The sequence below is a fragment of the Homo sapiens genome, chromosome 13 (genome assembly GCF_000001405.40).
Source record: "Homo sapiens chromosome 13, GRCh38.p14 Primary Assembly".
In the NCBI taxonomy this organism is placed as follows: Eukaryota; Metazoa; Chordata; class Mammalia; order Primates; family Hominidae; genus Homo; species Homo sapiens.
In genome coordinates, this window is record NC_000013.11 from 101,681,199 (window position 1) to 101,696,268 (window position 15,070).

General features: G+C 35.6%; 1 protein-coding gene across 4 annotated transcripts in view, besides 1 other annotated feature; it reads left to right on the forward strand.

The window, feature by feature from the left end:
• Positions 1–15,070, forward strand: part of ITGBL1 (integrin subunit beta like 1) — a 268,182-nt gene that overhangs the window by 228,524 nt on the left and 24,588 nt on the right. For all 4 annotated transcript variants that reach the window (NM_001271754.2, NM_004791.3, NM_001271755.2 and 1 more), the window contains one exon: positions 11,387–11,503. In NM_001271754.2, the coding sequence (NP_001258683.1) occupies positions 11,387–11,503 (117 nt within the window). The remainder of the gene's footprint in view (positions 1–11,386; positions 11,504–15,070) is intronic.
• Positions 7,611–7,842: a silencer, noted in NCBI's record as "fragment chr13:102341159-102341390 (GRCh37/hg19 assembly coordinates)". NCBI's record gives its function as "represses an EF-1alpha promoter that drives an FKBP-Casp9 reporter gene in an ReSE screen in K562 erythroleukemia cells {active_cell/tissue: K562}" and the evidence as "EXISTENCE:reporter gene assay evidence [ECO:0000049][PMID:32094911]".

Sequence of the window (15,070 nt, forward strand, 5' to 3'; positions counted from 1 at the left end):
TAGTTAGAAGGAAGTTAGTATTCTTCAGCGGAACACTTTAAATGTGACCATATAGGGAAGAAACGTATGTGTATGTGTGTGCGTGTGCCTGTGTGCATATGTGTGTGCGTGTTGCATATTCAGTCATGGTTTCTGAAGGTGATTACAATTTTTAACACTAGCAGTTCAAGTCCAGGCATCTACCCTGTGGCTTCTGAGTTTACAGATTTTCACCCTTTCACAAATGTGCAAAAATGTTACTGGTGGTCATGCAGAAGAGATGTACTTGGTCCTGAATAAATAATGACTTTCCTGAATTAGTTATCTGAGGACTCTCTTGATTGTCAATCCATGAGGTTAGTGGGCGACTGTGTCTGTCTTGTTCGTCTTCTTGTCTCCCCATCCAAGATCTAGAAACTTAGTCCCTGCTGGTTTGAAACCTGTGTCATGTGGAAGTGAGACCTTAAAGCGAGAAAATCAAAGAAAGTGAGGGAAGGAGATGTCAAAGTCTAAGGCTTGAGATATTGGTTGTGGTTGAGATTATGAAAAAAGAGGAATCCAAGAAGAAAAGAAAAACCTGGAAGAAAGAGGGAAGGAGTGAAGGTGGTGTGTGTCTGTGTGTGTGTGGGTGTGCGCATGTGCGCATGTGTGTATATGTGTGTGTGTGTTGGGAGAGAATAGTCAGAGGGGAAAGGGAGGGAGTAGAGGATCAAGAAGAGGCAGAGAAGGAGAGAAAAGAAGAAGAGGAATATAGCTTGAAAAACAAATGTCAAACTTCACAATTTCACAATCTTTACCTTATACCAGTTTTAGAAAATTAACCTCTACCAGAAGTTGACAACTTTCCATAAGGCAGTGCTTCCAGATATGAGTCATCCATGAATGTTTAACTATTAAAAAATAAGACAGACAATAGTTAAATAAAAGATTGTGGAACAAGAGATGACCTTTCCATTTCTTCTCTTACCCTCTGATTATTTCTACTGTAACTACACTCCAGCAATTAATCAGGATGTGAACCAATGAAACTACTAAAGTTTTAATCTATTTGTAATAATGCAAATGAGGCAATCTGTATTTTATAAAGGTCACAAGCTACTCTTTTTCATTTTGTCTTATACTTTAGATATACTGACTTACCCTATAAGTAAAAGAAAAGTTCGACTTTGTCTTTCTAGTATTAAAATAATAGTATTTTGTTTATATAAATCTTGCAGTATCTTATGGATAACATTCCAAAAAAACTGTGAATGAGAGTTTCTTCCAGGCTATATCAAGTAAAATTTAGTAACAAAGATTTCAGAAATGTCAAGTATTTCAATGAACACGGTAACTTTCCTAAAAGTGTAATTATTTCAAGTTTGCAGTTAATTTCCATCATATTTACTAAAAGACAAAAGTAATTTCATGTTCACAATGATCAATATATATTACTTCTATTGTGAATAACCCATTTTTGCCCTCAGTTCATTTTTCTTTTGCTCATTTATTATTAGTTATTTTTATTTTAACTTATACACATAGTAATGTTTTCTTAGTGTCTATATTGTTTGTACAAATATTTTGTCCTTGTTTATTGTTTATATTTTAGTCTTAGGTTATTCATTGCTCTATAGAAATTGAATATTGAATATTTTATGGTCAAATTTATTAATATTGTCCTTTATATTTCTGATTTGGTGTCATATTTAGAATAGTTTTCTCACCCAAGTGTTATGAAAACTCTCACCTATATTCTTGTCTAGTTTTATGACTTAAACTTTTACATTTGAATGTTGAAACCCCTGGAAACGTATTTAGTTGTAAGGAGTGAAGTAAAGGAAATGAATATTTTTGAAACATGGCTCACCAATTTTATCAAACATATTTTTTGAATAATCCATTATGCCCAGAAAAGTATATAACATAAATTTATAGCATTATGAATCATATAAAGTAATCACATGCCCAGATTCAGAAATAGAAGAATGCCAGAATCCTAAAAGCTCCATTCTCACTTCTCTGAAATCAGCATACCCTCTCCCTAAAAAGATAACCTTTATTCTCATGTTCATGTAATCACCTCTATACCTGTCTTTAAAGTTTTCCGCCTAGATATATATTCCCAAACAGTGTGATAGTTAGACGTGACTTTTTTGGAATTAATCCAACAGCATGCATTGTTTTATGACTGAGTTCTCGCACTCTACATTATGTTCTTGAGACTCAGGCATTACGTTGAATGTATTTGCGATTCTTTCTTTTAATTGCTATAGTGTTTCATTTAAGAATATAGCTGATATGTAAGTATTCCGTAATTGATGAACATTTGGGGCATTTCTCCTTTGAAGTTGCTAAGAATAATGTTGCTATGATTATTCTGGAACATTTCCTGGTTCACATGTGTATGCTTTTTTCTCTAGGGAACTTACCCAAGAATTAAATTGCTGATTCTTAGATTATGCATGCCAACTTCACTAGATAATGCCAAACGGTCCCCAGAATATTCTACCAATTTATATTCTCACCCTCTGCAAAAGACTTATCTGTATTTCCAAACCATTGCCAATGCTTATTAGGGTCAGTTTTTAAATCTTTGCTAATCTGATTGGGTTGGGGCAGAATCTTTTTGTGGTTTTAGTCTGCATTTCCCATGTGAATAAGAGGAGGAGTATCTTTTCATATATTTACTGGCCATACAATCCCATTTGCTGAAGTGCCCATTCAGATCTCCTGCCCATGTCTTTAATGGATTGTATGTATTTGTTGTTGTTGTTGTTAGAGTTCTTTAAATAGTTTGGATATGAGACAGTTGTCAGATATGTGTGTCACTGATATCATCTCTCATTCTGTGGCTCACCTTTTCACTCTCTTATTTTCTAATGTACTAGAGCTCCTAATTATAATTCAAATGGTTAATATTTTCTTTTTTAGTTACTTACTCCAGCACCATTTATGTGAAAAGTCATCTTTCCTTTGTTGCTTTTCAGTGTCACCTTGTCCTAATCCAGTATTTGTATATGCAAGGAATTGTTTTTGGATTCTCTATTCTATTCTACTTGGTCTCCACTTCCACCAAAATCCAACTTTTATGATTACTGTGCCTTTAAAATAAGCCCTGATATCTATTTCAAAAGGTATTTCTACCTCCTTCTTGTTCATAAGTATTTTCGTTATTGGTGCTTTCCATTTCTGTATAAATGTCATAATTGGCTTTTAAGCTTTAAAAAATCCTGATAAGATTTTGGTTGTAGTTACATCGAATCTATAGATCAATTAGGGGATATTTGGTATTTTAACAATATTGAATAATAAGCATACAGTATTTCTTCACATTTAAATCTCAAAGCTTTCATTTGTCTATGCTGCATATACATATGTGATTTATTTTTGTATATATGTTTGCTATAGGGCAACTAATATACTCTCTTAATAATCCATATTATTTGTTAGTAGTTTTTGCATTGTCTACATGCACAGTTTTCGGTTAAGTAATTTTTGTTTCCTTCTTTCAATTCTTTATGTCATCTTTTTATCCTTACCATATTCTACCGACAAAGACATCTAGTGCAATGTTGGATAGAACTAAAAGATAAATTTATCTTTCTCTTATTCCTAATCCAAATAGAAGGTTTTAAAATGTTTACCATTAGCACCAACCAATTATTATTATTAAGTGCATGCATATCCTTTAACATTTTTTCTCTCTTCCTCTTTCTTCCTTTTTCACTAGTAAAACACTTTATTTACTATAGTTAGAGGACATTTTATTTGGTTGAATAATATAAAATTGATGACGTCTGACTATTTTTGACTTATAAAAAGAGTCATTTTACATTGTTCAGCTTACCTGTTATGACATTTCTCCACTTATTTTCCATAGATACACACAGACTCTGTTTTTAAAGTATTTCTGAATATTACCATACTTGTTATTTCAGACAAATTTGAGAATCATTTCATCAACTTGAAAACATTCAGTGAGTTTGATTGGTACAATATTGATTTATTAATTCAGGAAAAATCAGACACTTCTTAATAAGAAAGTATGTCCTTTTAAAAATTATAAGTCTTCTCCTATGGCCTTCACTATGACTTTATATGCAAAGTTGTATAAGTTCATTTATTTTACGTTGCTGATATTTTTGTACATGAAACAATTTTCCATTATATTAGGTTGGGTTAGTGTTGGCACATAAAAATTTTTTCATTTCTGTATGTTAATTTTGTCACAAGATACCTTGCCAAAATGTTTTATTCCTTTAAATGCATTTGTAATTTTTAAAATCTTGGGCATAAAGACAGACCATCTGCTAATAATGATCTTGGCTCTTTATTATATTGTTTGTCTAATTTTTATTAAATTGCACTTAAACTATAACAATGGTTGTTATAAACATCTCCCATCTCTAACTTAGATCACTCCCTGTTAACCATAATGTTGGATTTCTTTTGAAAAGATTATTATATATACCTGTTGGCATTAGTATTTAAGCAATTTTCTAGAATAGTGTCTTCTCAGGGGATGACTCTAGGCCAGTGATATATTTGAGAGTGTTCATCATGTAAGACAGTTGTTTAATCCATGGGATAGCAGGAAATTTTGGAAAATATAGAGGAAAGAAGGTTCAGGGCTGAGCCATGGGGCAATCCAAGATTTAGATATTTGTATAAAGATGAGAATCCAGTAATATAGCCTAAGAAGAATTCGTAATCCAATAATAGCTAATAGAAGAAAGTATTTCCCAAAAGGGCAGGGTCAACTCTCAAAAGCTTCTGAGAGGTTATATAAGATGGTACAGAGAATTGGCCACTGGGTTGGGGTCATTGGAGACATTGCTGAAGAAGTACTTGTCACATAGCAGTATCTTGAGGTAATTGGATTGGGTTGAGATGAGACTGGAGTTAAGAGAACAGCAGCAAACTTCTTTTTGGGAAGTTTACTTTAAATTGTACTTTGCTGCTATGCTTTTGCAACACAAGGTGTTTTCTATCTTTTACTCATCTATGTTTTGCCCGGTTCCTATGTTACTCCTCCCGGCAACCACCACCACCACTGCTTTCCCCTATTAGAATGAAGCAGTTCTAACTAAGCCTCCTTTTCCTCCTCCTTATTCTCCTGCTTCTCCTTTTAGCTGCCTTTGAGGTTTAGTCTCTCATATATGGCAACCATATAAAGAGAAAAAAATAATGTGATGTATTTTTCATGGATTATGCTGAGATAATTTTTGAAGGCAGTTCACTGTTAGTGGGAGAAGGTGCTGTGGTCTATAGGTGAGGTCTGGAAGGACTTCAGACAAATATTCAAGTGCTGACTAATTTATAAACCCAGAGCAGAGGTTTTACTTCCAGAATTATTTTTACATATAATATATTCAATCTAATAGCATTAAAATGCTATCCAAGAATACACATAGCATTCTAAAATTTTAAGCTTCCGTTTTAATGAATACTTTAAAGATTTTGAGCTAGTCATATAGAAGATTGGGTTTAAGGTTAGAATGAGATAATGTGGATTATGTTGAGATAATTTTTGGAGGCAGTTCATTACTAGTGGGCGAGGGTGCTGTGGTCTGTAGGTGAAGTCTGGAAGGGCTTCAGACGAATATTCAAGTGGCAACTATTTTATAAACCCAGAGCAGAGTTTTATTTCCAGAATTAGTTTTACATATAAAATATTCAATACACAAAATGCTATTCAAAAATGCATATAACATTCTAAAATTTTAAGCTTCCTTTTTAATGAATACTTTAAATATTTTGAGATAGTTATATAGAAAATTGGGCTTAAGGTTAGAATGAGATAATGTTCTAGTAAATTTTAGCTGTCTATATATTCTATTAAACAATTATTACATATATTGTGACCTTTTAGTTTTATACTAGTAGCATTTTTTTATTATGAAGTTAGTAATGCTGGTCAAAATGTTTAGGGTTTAATTTTGGTGATATAATCATTCCTCCACATTTTTTGGTAGTCAATATGCAGTAAAATGAGGTAAATGCTATAGAATAGCAGACTTTAGAGACATATATATCTTTTATTTAACAGTGTACTCCCATATCTAATCGTGTATTTCATACGAAACAGATTCTTAAATATTTGTTGAATTTTATATAAAATATTTTGGAGTAAGTGAATCAAGGTTTTCACATTTTCATGTAGTTCTTATGAGAAAAAAATGTACTCTAAGGTGAAAATAGACACTTTATCTGAATCTTATATCTTAATGATTGTGGGAAAATATAAATTTAAAGAGATTTAAATTAAGAGTTTTTATTAAAATGATTACCTGCACATAGTTGGGCTTTTTGCTTATATCTTGACTTATAATTTGTCTATATTTTACACAAGTTCAGAGTCTGAACTTGTTTGAATTTTTAAGTAAAATCTATTTTGATCGGAACTTCTAAAAATCTGCCTTAGTTCATTATTCTTCTTTGATAGCTTATAATGAGCTTTAAAATATAATTCATAAAAAATGCAGTTCTTTATGAAATGATATCATTGGAATGATTTTATATGTGCCTAAAGATTATCTACTTTATTAAAACTTAATAAGAGTAGGCAGACTCAATGTAGAGTAAATTTCAGATAAGTTTTGGTTGGATGATATTGATGATGTTGGCTGAATTAATTTCTTCTCACACAGTTATTTCTATGCTCCTTTCTGTCTGTTTCTGAATTGTCTTCTTGCAAATTACTTGCTTTATTTTTATTTCTTTGGGTATCTCTTTTTTTAGATTTTCTTTTAAATATGTCGTATAAAGTAGCACAGTGCTAGAAAGGCAGATTTCCATTTTCCTTCTTTCTCATGTATGAGAATATTAATTTGGTATTGATTTCAGAAGCCACAGTTGTATCTCCATAACAGTAAAACAATCACTGAAATAATAATAATAATATTATTTAGTAAACAAAAGAAAAAGATTGGACTCAATTTCTTATCTGAAATCAAGTCAATAAACCTGTATGTCAGCATCCTTCTACTACATTAAGGGAGAACTTAGTTGGCTGCTACCAAGATACAAATCTCACCGTTAGTCTGGACCGTAGTGATTTTATCATTTAACAATTGGGTTGAGGCACTTGCTTATCTAGTTTAAACTTTGCATTCAGTATTCTACTAGGTATAGACAAAGGGCTGTGGGATCAGAAAGGTGACAATTCTTCCAGGTAACCAACCTGGGATGGCAAGGAAGGTTTCAGAGGAGATTAGATTTGGGCTGGCTATAGAACACCGAGTAGGACTTTACAGAGAAAATGGTGGTGTGCACCACGGAGGGAAGAAATAGGGAACATAAAGTCTCTGAACATGAGTGCTCTATAATTGCTGGATATATACTTGAAAAGTTTAAGTTGGACCATGTGTGGAAAACTCTGTTGAAGAATCTAGTCTTTGCTTTGAAGGTTACATGGGGCCATCAGAGGGATTTGTGCAAAGGAATTACACAATCATATGTATGTTTTTAAAAAGCAGATTATGTGGATTTTCACAGAAGACCCAAGAAGAAGAGTAGGTTTGTGAATACAGATGATGAATTTGTCGTGGGACATATTTAATTGATCTGACCATGGAAAACACAAATGAAGGTATTCAGGCAATTGGAAATGAATATCTATTCTGGGAGAGATATACCATTTCAAATTCAAGTTCTACCATTAATGCTCATGTATTGTGTGAATATTTCTATAGTATTTATATATGATTACTGTTTAATGCACGTGTTCAATAAATATTGATTCAAAACATTATGATTGCCGGGCATAGTGGCTCACACCTGTGATCCCAGCACTTTGGGAGGCCAAGGCGGGTGGATTGCTTGAGGCCAGGAGTTCAAAACCAGCCTGGCCGACAGGTGTAATCCTGTCTCTACTAAAAATAGAAAAAAAAAAAATCATCTGGGTGTGGTGGCGCATGCTTGCAATCCGAGCTACTCTGGAGGCTGAGGCAAGAGAATTGCTTGAACCCAGGAGACAGAGGTTGCAGTGACCCAAGATTGCAACACTGCACTGCCAGCACTCAAGCCTGGGGACAGAGCAAGACTCTGCCTAAAAAAAAAAAAAAAAAAAAAATTATGAGGACACATAAGAAGCATAGTTAATTTTATTGTATTTGTGAAATTGTGTGAGTAGGAGGATGCCAATGTCACAGATTTGGTGAAGTTTTCCTTGGACCTTGAAGAATGATTGGAAATTTACCTGATAGGTATATGATAATGACTGAAACAAAATTGGTAGTGATTTGTGGTAGTGGCTAAATAGAAGTTGTGAACTGAGGCAGCAAAATAATAAACTTACAAAAATTAGCCAGGCACGTGCCTGTAGTCCCAACTGCTCAGGAGGCTGAGGCAGGAGAATTGCTTGAACCCAGGAGGCGGAGGTTGCAGTGAGCCGAGATCATGCCACTGCACTCCAACCTGAGTGACAGAGCAAGACTCTGTCTCTAAAAAAAAACCCAAAAAAATATGGAATGCATGAAGAATTTACTCTTTTTTACCTCTCTGTCTGCAATAAATTAGCCTTTCCTAATGCATTATATTTTAATTGTTAACTTTTTAAAAAATGTTGTGGATATATAGTAGGTGTATATGTTTGTGGGAGACATGAGATGTTTTGATATAGGACACAATGTGAAATAAGCACACCATGGAAAATGGGTTATTCATCCTCTCAAGAATTTATCCTTTTGAGTTACAAATAATTCAGTTACACTTTTTCACTTATTTTAAAATATACAATTAAGTTATTATTGACTGTAGTCATCCTATTGTGCTACCAAACAGTACGTCTTATTCTATTTTTGGTGCCCATCCTAATACGTTATTTTTGATTTTTATCAGAAGCCACTGTATCTTATAAACTGTATTAGGGTTACATGCAAAAGGTTAATTCATCTCATAGTTGCCTTAGTATTAGTCATTTTAAAACTCCAATAGATACATGGTGAAAAAAGAATTGGAAATTGGTTACTATATTCTCTGATATTTTAAAAAGATATGTGAATTGTTATTTATCAGGAAAGAAAATGTGCCGACGCCAGAATATTAACACTTTATTGTCTAACTTTACACAAAAATATGGGACAGAAATTATCCACAATGAAAACAACGGAATGTTGAAATCTGAACACATATGCCAGTGTTTAGTTCATCTTTTCTGAAGAGGCACAGAAGCCAATGAGGCACATTCAGGAAAATTACTTAAAATGTGAATTACTTAAAATTACTTAAAATGTGAATAAATTTGTCACCATGAATACATATACCCTGAAACGTAGAAACTGGTTCTATGTAACTGGAATGCATTGCCCCTCAGGAATAATGCAACTGATGATCATGGCTTCCCACATCTGTGTGTGAAGGAACAGTTCACCATATCCAGACCACACTGCTGATGGTACTACAGTTTGCCTCTTTCTCCCCACAGCCTGCATTATTGGAATCATTTGCACATCCACCCATGAAAAAGATTAGAGCATTTATGCACATTGAAAGGTGACTGGAGTTCAGAAAATCTAGGTTCTAAAACCAACACTACTAATAGATAGAGAGCTGGCCTTGGGCAAATCATTTAGCCCCAGCATGCTTGAGTTTCCTCATCTATTAAATAAATTGAAGGAAGTCATGGATCCTTCTGACATTTTACCAAAAAAAATGTGTATTGGTATATTTTTCCAGGGATAGATCTGTGTTCTGCCAATTATGGTTCTTGATTACAAACAACAAAACCAACTTCATTAAAAGGGATAAAAAATATTTTATTAGAAGGCTTTAGGCTCAGAATGCAACTTTGAACAATTAGCTCCTGCAGCAACCTGGGGAAGCAAGGCACTGCCAAGAACCAGTTCCTGCTGCCATCACTTCTGAATGTCAGCCACTGCAGGCTGAGCTTCAAGGCTCCCAGAATTGCTATGCTGTTGCATTTGCCACACTGCCCACAGACGTTGTGCCTTTGCTTTCACCCTCAAGAATAAAAGCCCTGACCAAGGGTGTCTGATGTGTGCCTGTTCTAGCTGCCAGGGTATAGGAAGAGGGAATATCGTTGAAGGAGGGACCCCTGCCTCCTGCTGAACCTGGGACTACCTCCAAGTAGAGATTAGTTGAAGGTCAGCCAGCACAACACTGTATTGCCATGTCTTTCACCAGATTCTCAAAGGGATCGTGACCCCATCATGTCAGCTAGAAAATATTATGAATCATTGCATTAGATTATCTTTAATTACAGCTCTGAAATTATATGATCCTAAATACTAATTTTTCTTTCCCCCATCATCCACCAACTCAGAATTTCTTTAACAAGATACAAGTTCAGCAACAGAGTGACTAACAACATTGCAAGGTCAGCCCTGAAGCATCTTGTGATTATTTCAGTGGGTGTGTAATTATGATGGTTGGGCTAATGACAGGGAGTAACAGATGTCTCGGAGCACTGTCACCCAAGCAAATTTCTGGCAAACCAGTAGTGATTCCTCAAACAAAAGAAATTTACTTTCTCATATAGCCTTCCGGTGCTGCATTAGATGTACATTAAGATACAATGTGGTTTAATGGTTAGTTGTGCAAACTTTGAGGTTAATGAGAATGGATGTAAATTTTGAATCTATTTCTTCCTAGCTGGTTCACCATTGGAAAGTTACTTGGCCTCAATATGTCTCGGCTTCCTGTTTAGTAAAATGATTGTAATGATTCTAGTCAATGTGTGGTGTTGGAAAATGAAATGATGTCATGCAGGGAATGATAGTGTTTGACACATAGTTACCACTCAATAAATCATGATGAAAGTCAGCATAATGGGACTAGTTAAGGGGTTCCCAAACGATGAACCAAATTCATTGCAAAAATATTTATAATTTTAAATTTTAAGACGAGGATAATAAAGATATTTAGGTTATGCTCTTTGACATAGGTTCTATGCTAAAATGAGTTCTATGAACTATAAAATTGACTACAAATAGTCACTAAAATAGCACATTGAAATATTACCTATGACCACTTTTTTTTTCTCATGGAGCAGATAGACCCAAGATTAAAACATTTTAAAATGGCCACATCATACTAAATTATGTCAGTATATATAATGTATTATGTTATGTTCAAGGAATCATCAGGATAAGTTGTATATGAAATAGCCAGAGAGTTTTATAATGGATTTATTCAAAAATGAATGAAACAAAAATTAGAGAATAGCAAATGTGAATGACTTCTGAGACAGCAACTGCCACTTCCACTCCAGACCACCACGGAATTTCTTCTTGAACTTCAGCTTACCTTAGGGAGGTTGGAAATGTGTATTTGTGTAACTATTATCAGGCACAGACTGGAACTATTCTAGGAGATTTGGGTTTAATAGTGTGCTCACCTCCTTGAAAGCCTTAGTGATTCCGGGACTCTCCTCATAAGTGTGCACTTTCTTTATACTTTCCAGGTAAATGTGAATGTGGCAAATGCACCTGCTATCCTCCAGGAGATCGCCGGGTGTATGGCAAGACTTGTGAGTGTGATGATCGCCGCTGTGAAGACCTCGATGGTGTGGTCTGTGGAGGTAGTAACCTTTCTCATAGCTGTATGCTACCTGCATGCAACTTGCTTTACCTGCCTTTGTTATTCTACTGACTCTTGCTTTTTCAATTGCTGTTAAAAATAAGATAAACAGAAAGCAATATACCATTGAACCTAAAAGCAATATACAATTAGGTTTGTAATGACTTTTATTTCCCTGAACTCTTTATTTAGCAGGTATGTGAAAGTACGCAGTACACTATCAATAAAAGATCATTGAATCTAAGTACTAAGATACTTTATGATCGTGAAAGGTTTTGGGGCAAGTCAGCATTTTAACATGATTTTCATTACTTTATTTATAAACACTGGTAGGAGAAAGTATAATATCACCCACAAACTTGAAAAAATGGAGTAAGATTACTCTTAGAAATCACAAGAGGTATACGCTCAGATTCTATGATGCCTCTCATACCCAAACAAGAGCTCACTGGCATTAATAAACTGTCCAGAGAATGAGTGAGGCAGATAGAAGGTAGTGAGCAGAGGTAACCCACAAAAATGAGAGTCCCAGGAGTAGAGTGCTGATCCGAGCACCTCCATGGCTGGGAATGTGGGTCAACATTATTCTTGCATTGCATTCTTGAAAAAGTTCATATCGCTGAGGCTGATGCATGTGAATTACAGATCTTTCCACGTTTCCAGTATAAATGAAGTGATGTGGACATGGAATTACATTACAAGAAAATAATTATATCCCTTTATTGGGGGAAAGAAACAGAATGTGTGTCTTTTCTAACTTTTATTTTAAGTTCAGGGATGCATAGGTAGGCTTGTTACATATGTCTTATTGGAGGGTGGAGGGTGGGTTGAGGGAGAGGATCAGGAAAAATAACTAATGGGTAGTAGAGTGTGTGTCTTAATGGAAGGCTGAGGCACCATCCATCCATCCTATCTGTCTGTCTGTCTATCTATCTATCTATCTATCTATCTATCTATCTATCTATCATCTATTATCTGTGTATCTATTATCTATCTATATCAATCATCCATATGCCTGTTCTCTCTCTAACCAACGATAAGACATTTGAAACCTGACAAAAAAATACTTTCTTCTTTCCTTTCTCTGTGAGTTGAGGGGAAAAGCCCTTTTAACCTGTTAATGACTGAGGTTAGACTTTTTTGAATTTTTGCAGTCAGACCTTGGTGATGACCTGGAGCAGTAGGATATAAAAAACTCCCACATGCTTAGCGTCCCAATAATGGAACACCAGGCATAAATTCGTAAAACATCTGCTGTGCTGGGCAGTTTATCTTATGCCATTGTCATGGCAGCCACCCTAAGAGATTGTTTCTACTATTTTTTCTTTCATAAATGGAAAATAGAGTGAGGTTGGAGAAGTTAACATCCCATAACTAAAATGTGGCAGACCCAGAATTTCAGCTCTGATATTTAGTTCACAGATCGTTCCTTATGTCAGTCACAGTTTTCCCTAGAGTGACACCAACGTGTTTTAACAATATGTCAATATTATTCTTAGGTTAAATCCTCTGTTCACTGGTATTAGTTAACCAGAAATACCTATGTAGGTTTTACTCTTTTTGTTTGTTAAGGACATGACATATATTAACTCATTTATTTATCATAGCAATATGTATGTATGTATATATACGTATTCATGTATAAAAAGCTTGCCTGGCCCCTTGAAAGTGCCATCTACATGTCTCTGCTCTTGTTACCATTGTTACTTTTCTTTTCTTTTCTTTTCTTTTTTTTCTTTTTGAGACAGAGTCTCACTCTGTCACCCAGGCTGGAGTGCAGTGGTAGAAGCAGAGCTCACTGAAACCTCAAACTCCTAGGCTCAAGCAATCCTCTGGCCTTAACTTACTGAGTATCTGGGACTACAGGCACATACCACCACAGCTGGCTATTTATTTTTTGTGGAGATTTGGGGGTCTCACTAAGTGGCCCAGATTGATCTTGAACTCCTGGGCTCAAGGGATTCTCCTGCCTTGGCCTCCCAAAGAGCTGGAATTACAGGTGTGAGCCACTGAGCCTGGCCAGAAATGGCTTTTGTATGTTTTTTCTGTCTATTTGTTGCTTTGGAGTAATCTCAGTCTCTTCCACTTTCATATTTAGGTCAATGTCTCTTGAAATGATTGATCAGCAATCAGTCATCCTTGGCTTTAGATTCTTTTCAATTTCTAATAAAAGATTTTCATATGGGAATTCCTCCAAATTACGCATGGTTTAAACTGAAGTAATTATTTTTTCATTAACTAAACAAATATTCATTGAGTGTCTACTATTTGCCAGCACTAGACATTCAGTGGTGAACATAGAGCATTTGCTCTCCTGGAGCTTATGGTTGAGCGTGAAGGGAGGACATTGAGAAAGGAATGAAAAGGAGCTGAGTGATCTGAAAAGAGATTTGATTCAATGGGAATATACATAACGGGGATTTAACATAGGCTGAAGGCTAAGAAAGACTTCTCTAATGCCTTCATATCTGGATAACAACTATGTAATGCAGACTATGTGCTTTACAGGTATTAACTACACCTCACAACAATACTTGGTAGTAATAGGATACATGGAACTTGGCCAAGTAGGGGAAGTGGGGTACAGTCAGAGAGCAGCTTGTGCTCAGTTGTGTGGGAGAAAAGAGAGTGTGTGACGTGTGCCAGGAACATTTGAGGACCAGAGAAAAACCCTGTGTGATTGCAGATTAGAAAACCAAAGGGAAAAGAGTGTGACGTGTTTTGTAAACATGTTAATAACTTGAGGCTTTACTCTAAAGGTGACAGGAAACCAAAGGAAGGGCTTAAACAGAGCTTAAACATGATCACAGTGTTTTAAAAAGTACTTCTGGTTGTCAGATGGAGTATGGATTGCTCCAAGGACTATGTGTGTTTGTGGGTTGGTAGGTGAATCTGGATGTTAGGAGATGAGCCCTGGTGAGAGATGAAGGTGCCTTAGCTGGATGGAAGACAGTAAAGGTGGAGGATCTTGAATGTGTTGGAGAACATGTTAGAAGCAGTGGGGTCAAGAGACTAACAAAACCCTTCACCCTGCTGCAAGAGACTCCAGCACTCTGTTAAACTCCTAGCTCTGGTTCCCTGGCAACAGATGAAGATGGTGCATTGCAGTGTTAACAAGCAACATTGCTCATGGTCATAATGATTTATGATTGATAAGTTTCAACTACATTGGAAGAGATGATGAATTGAACTATAAGCAGCTGATGGGAACCTCATGCTTTTGGATTTCATAAGTGTCATAACTCTGCCAACAGTCTTGTCCCTTGTGGGCTCCTTGAAAGCTGTTTACGGAATCATCGGGAAAGATTTTGGCTCCTGTTGGGCGTGCGACTTCTTCTAAGCCAGAAAAGCCTCAACATCTGTGCAGTGTGGATCTCATCTCTGTGCATATGGGCTGTGTTATCCCAAGAGAAAATAGTCCCCAATTATATGAGTTCATCCTCATGAACTCCTGCAAGAACTCCCATGGGTATATCCTGGTGCCTGACAGTGCCTGCTGGTAAGATGTGGCTCCTGTCCCACAGCCTTCAAAGGAGATTGGTGGCAAGTGTCAGCCTGAGAGCTTAGT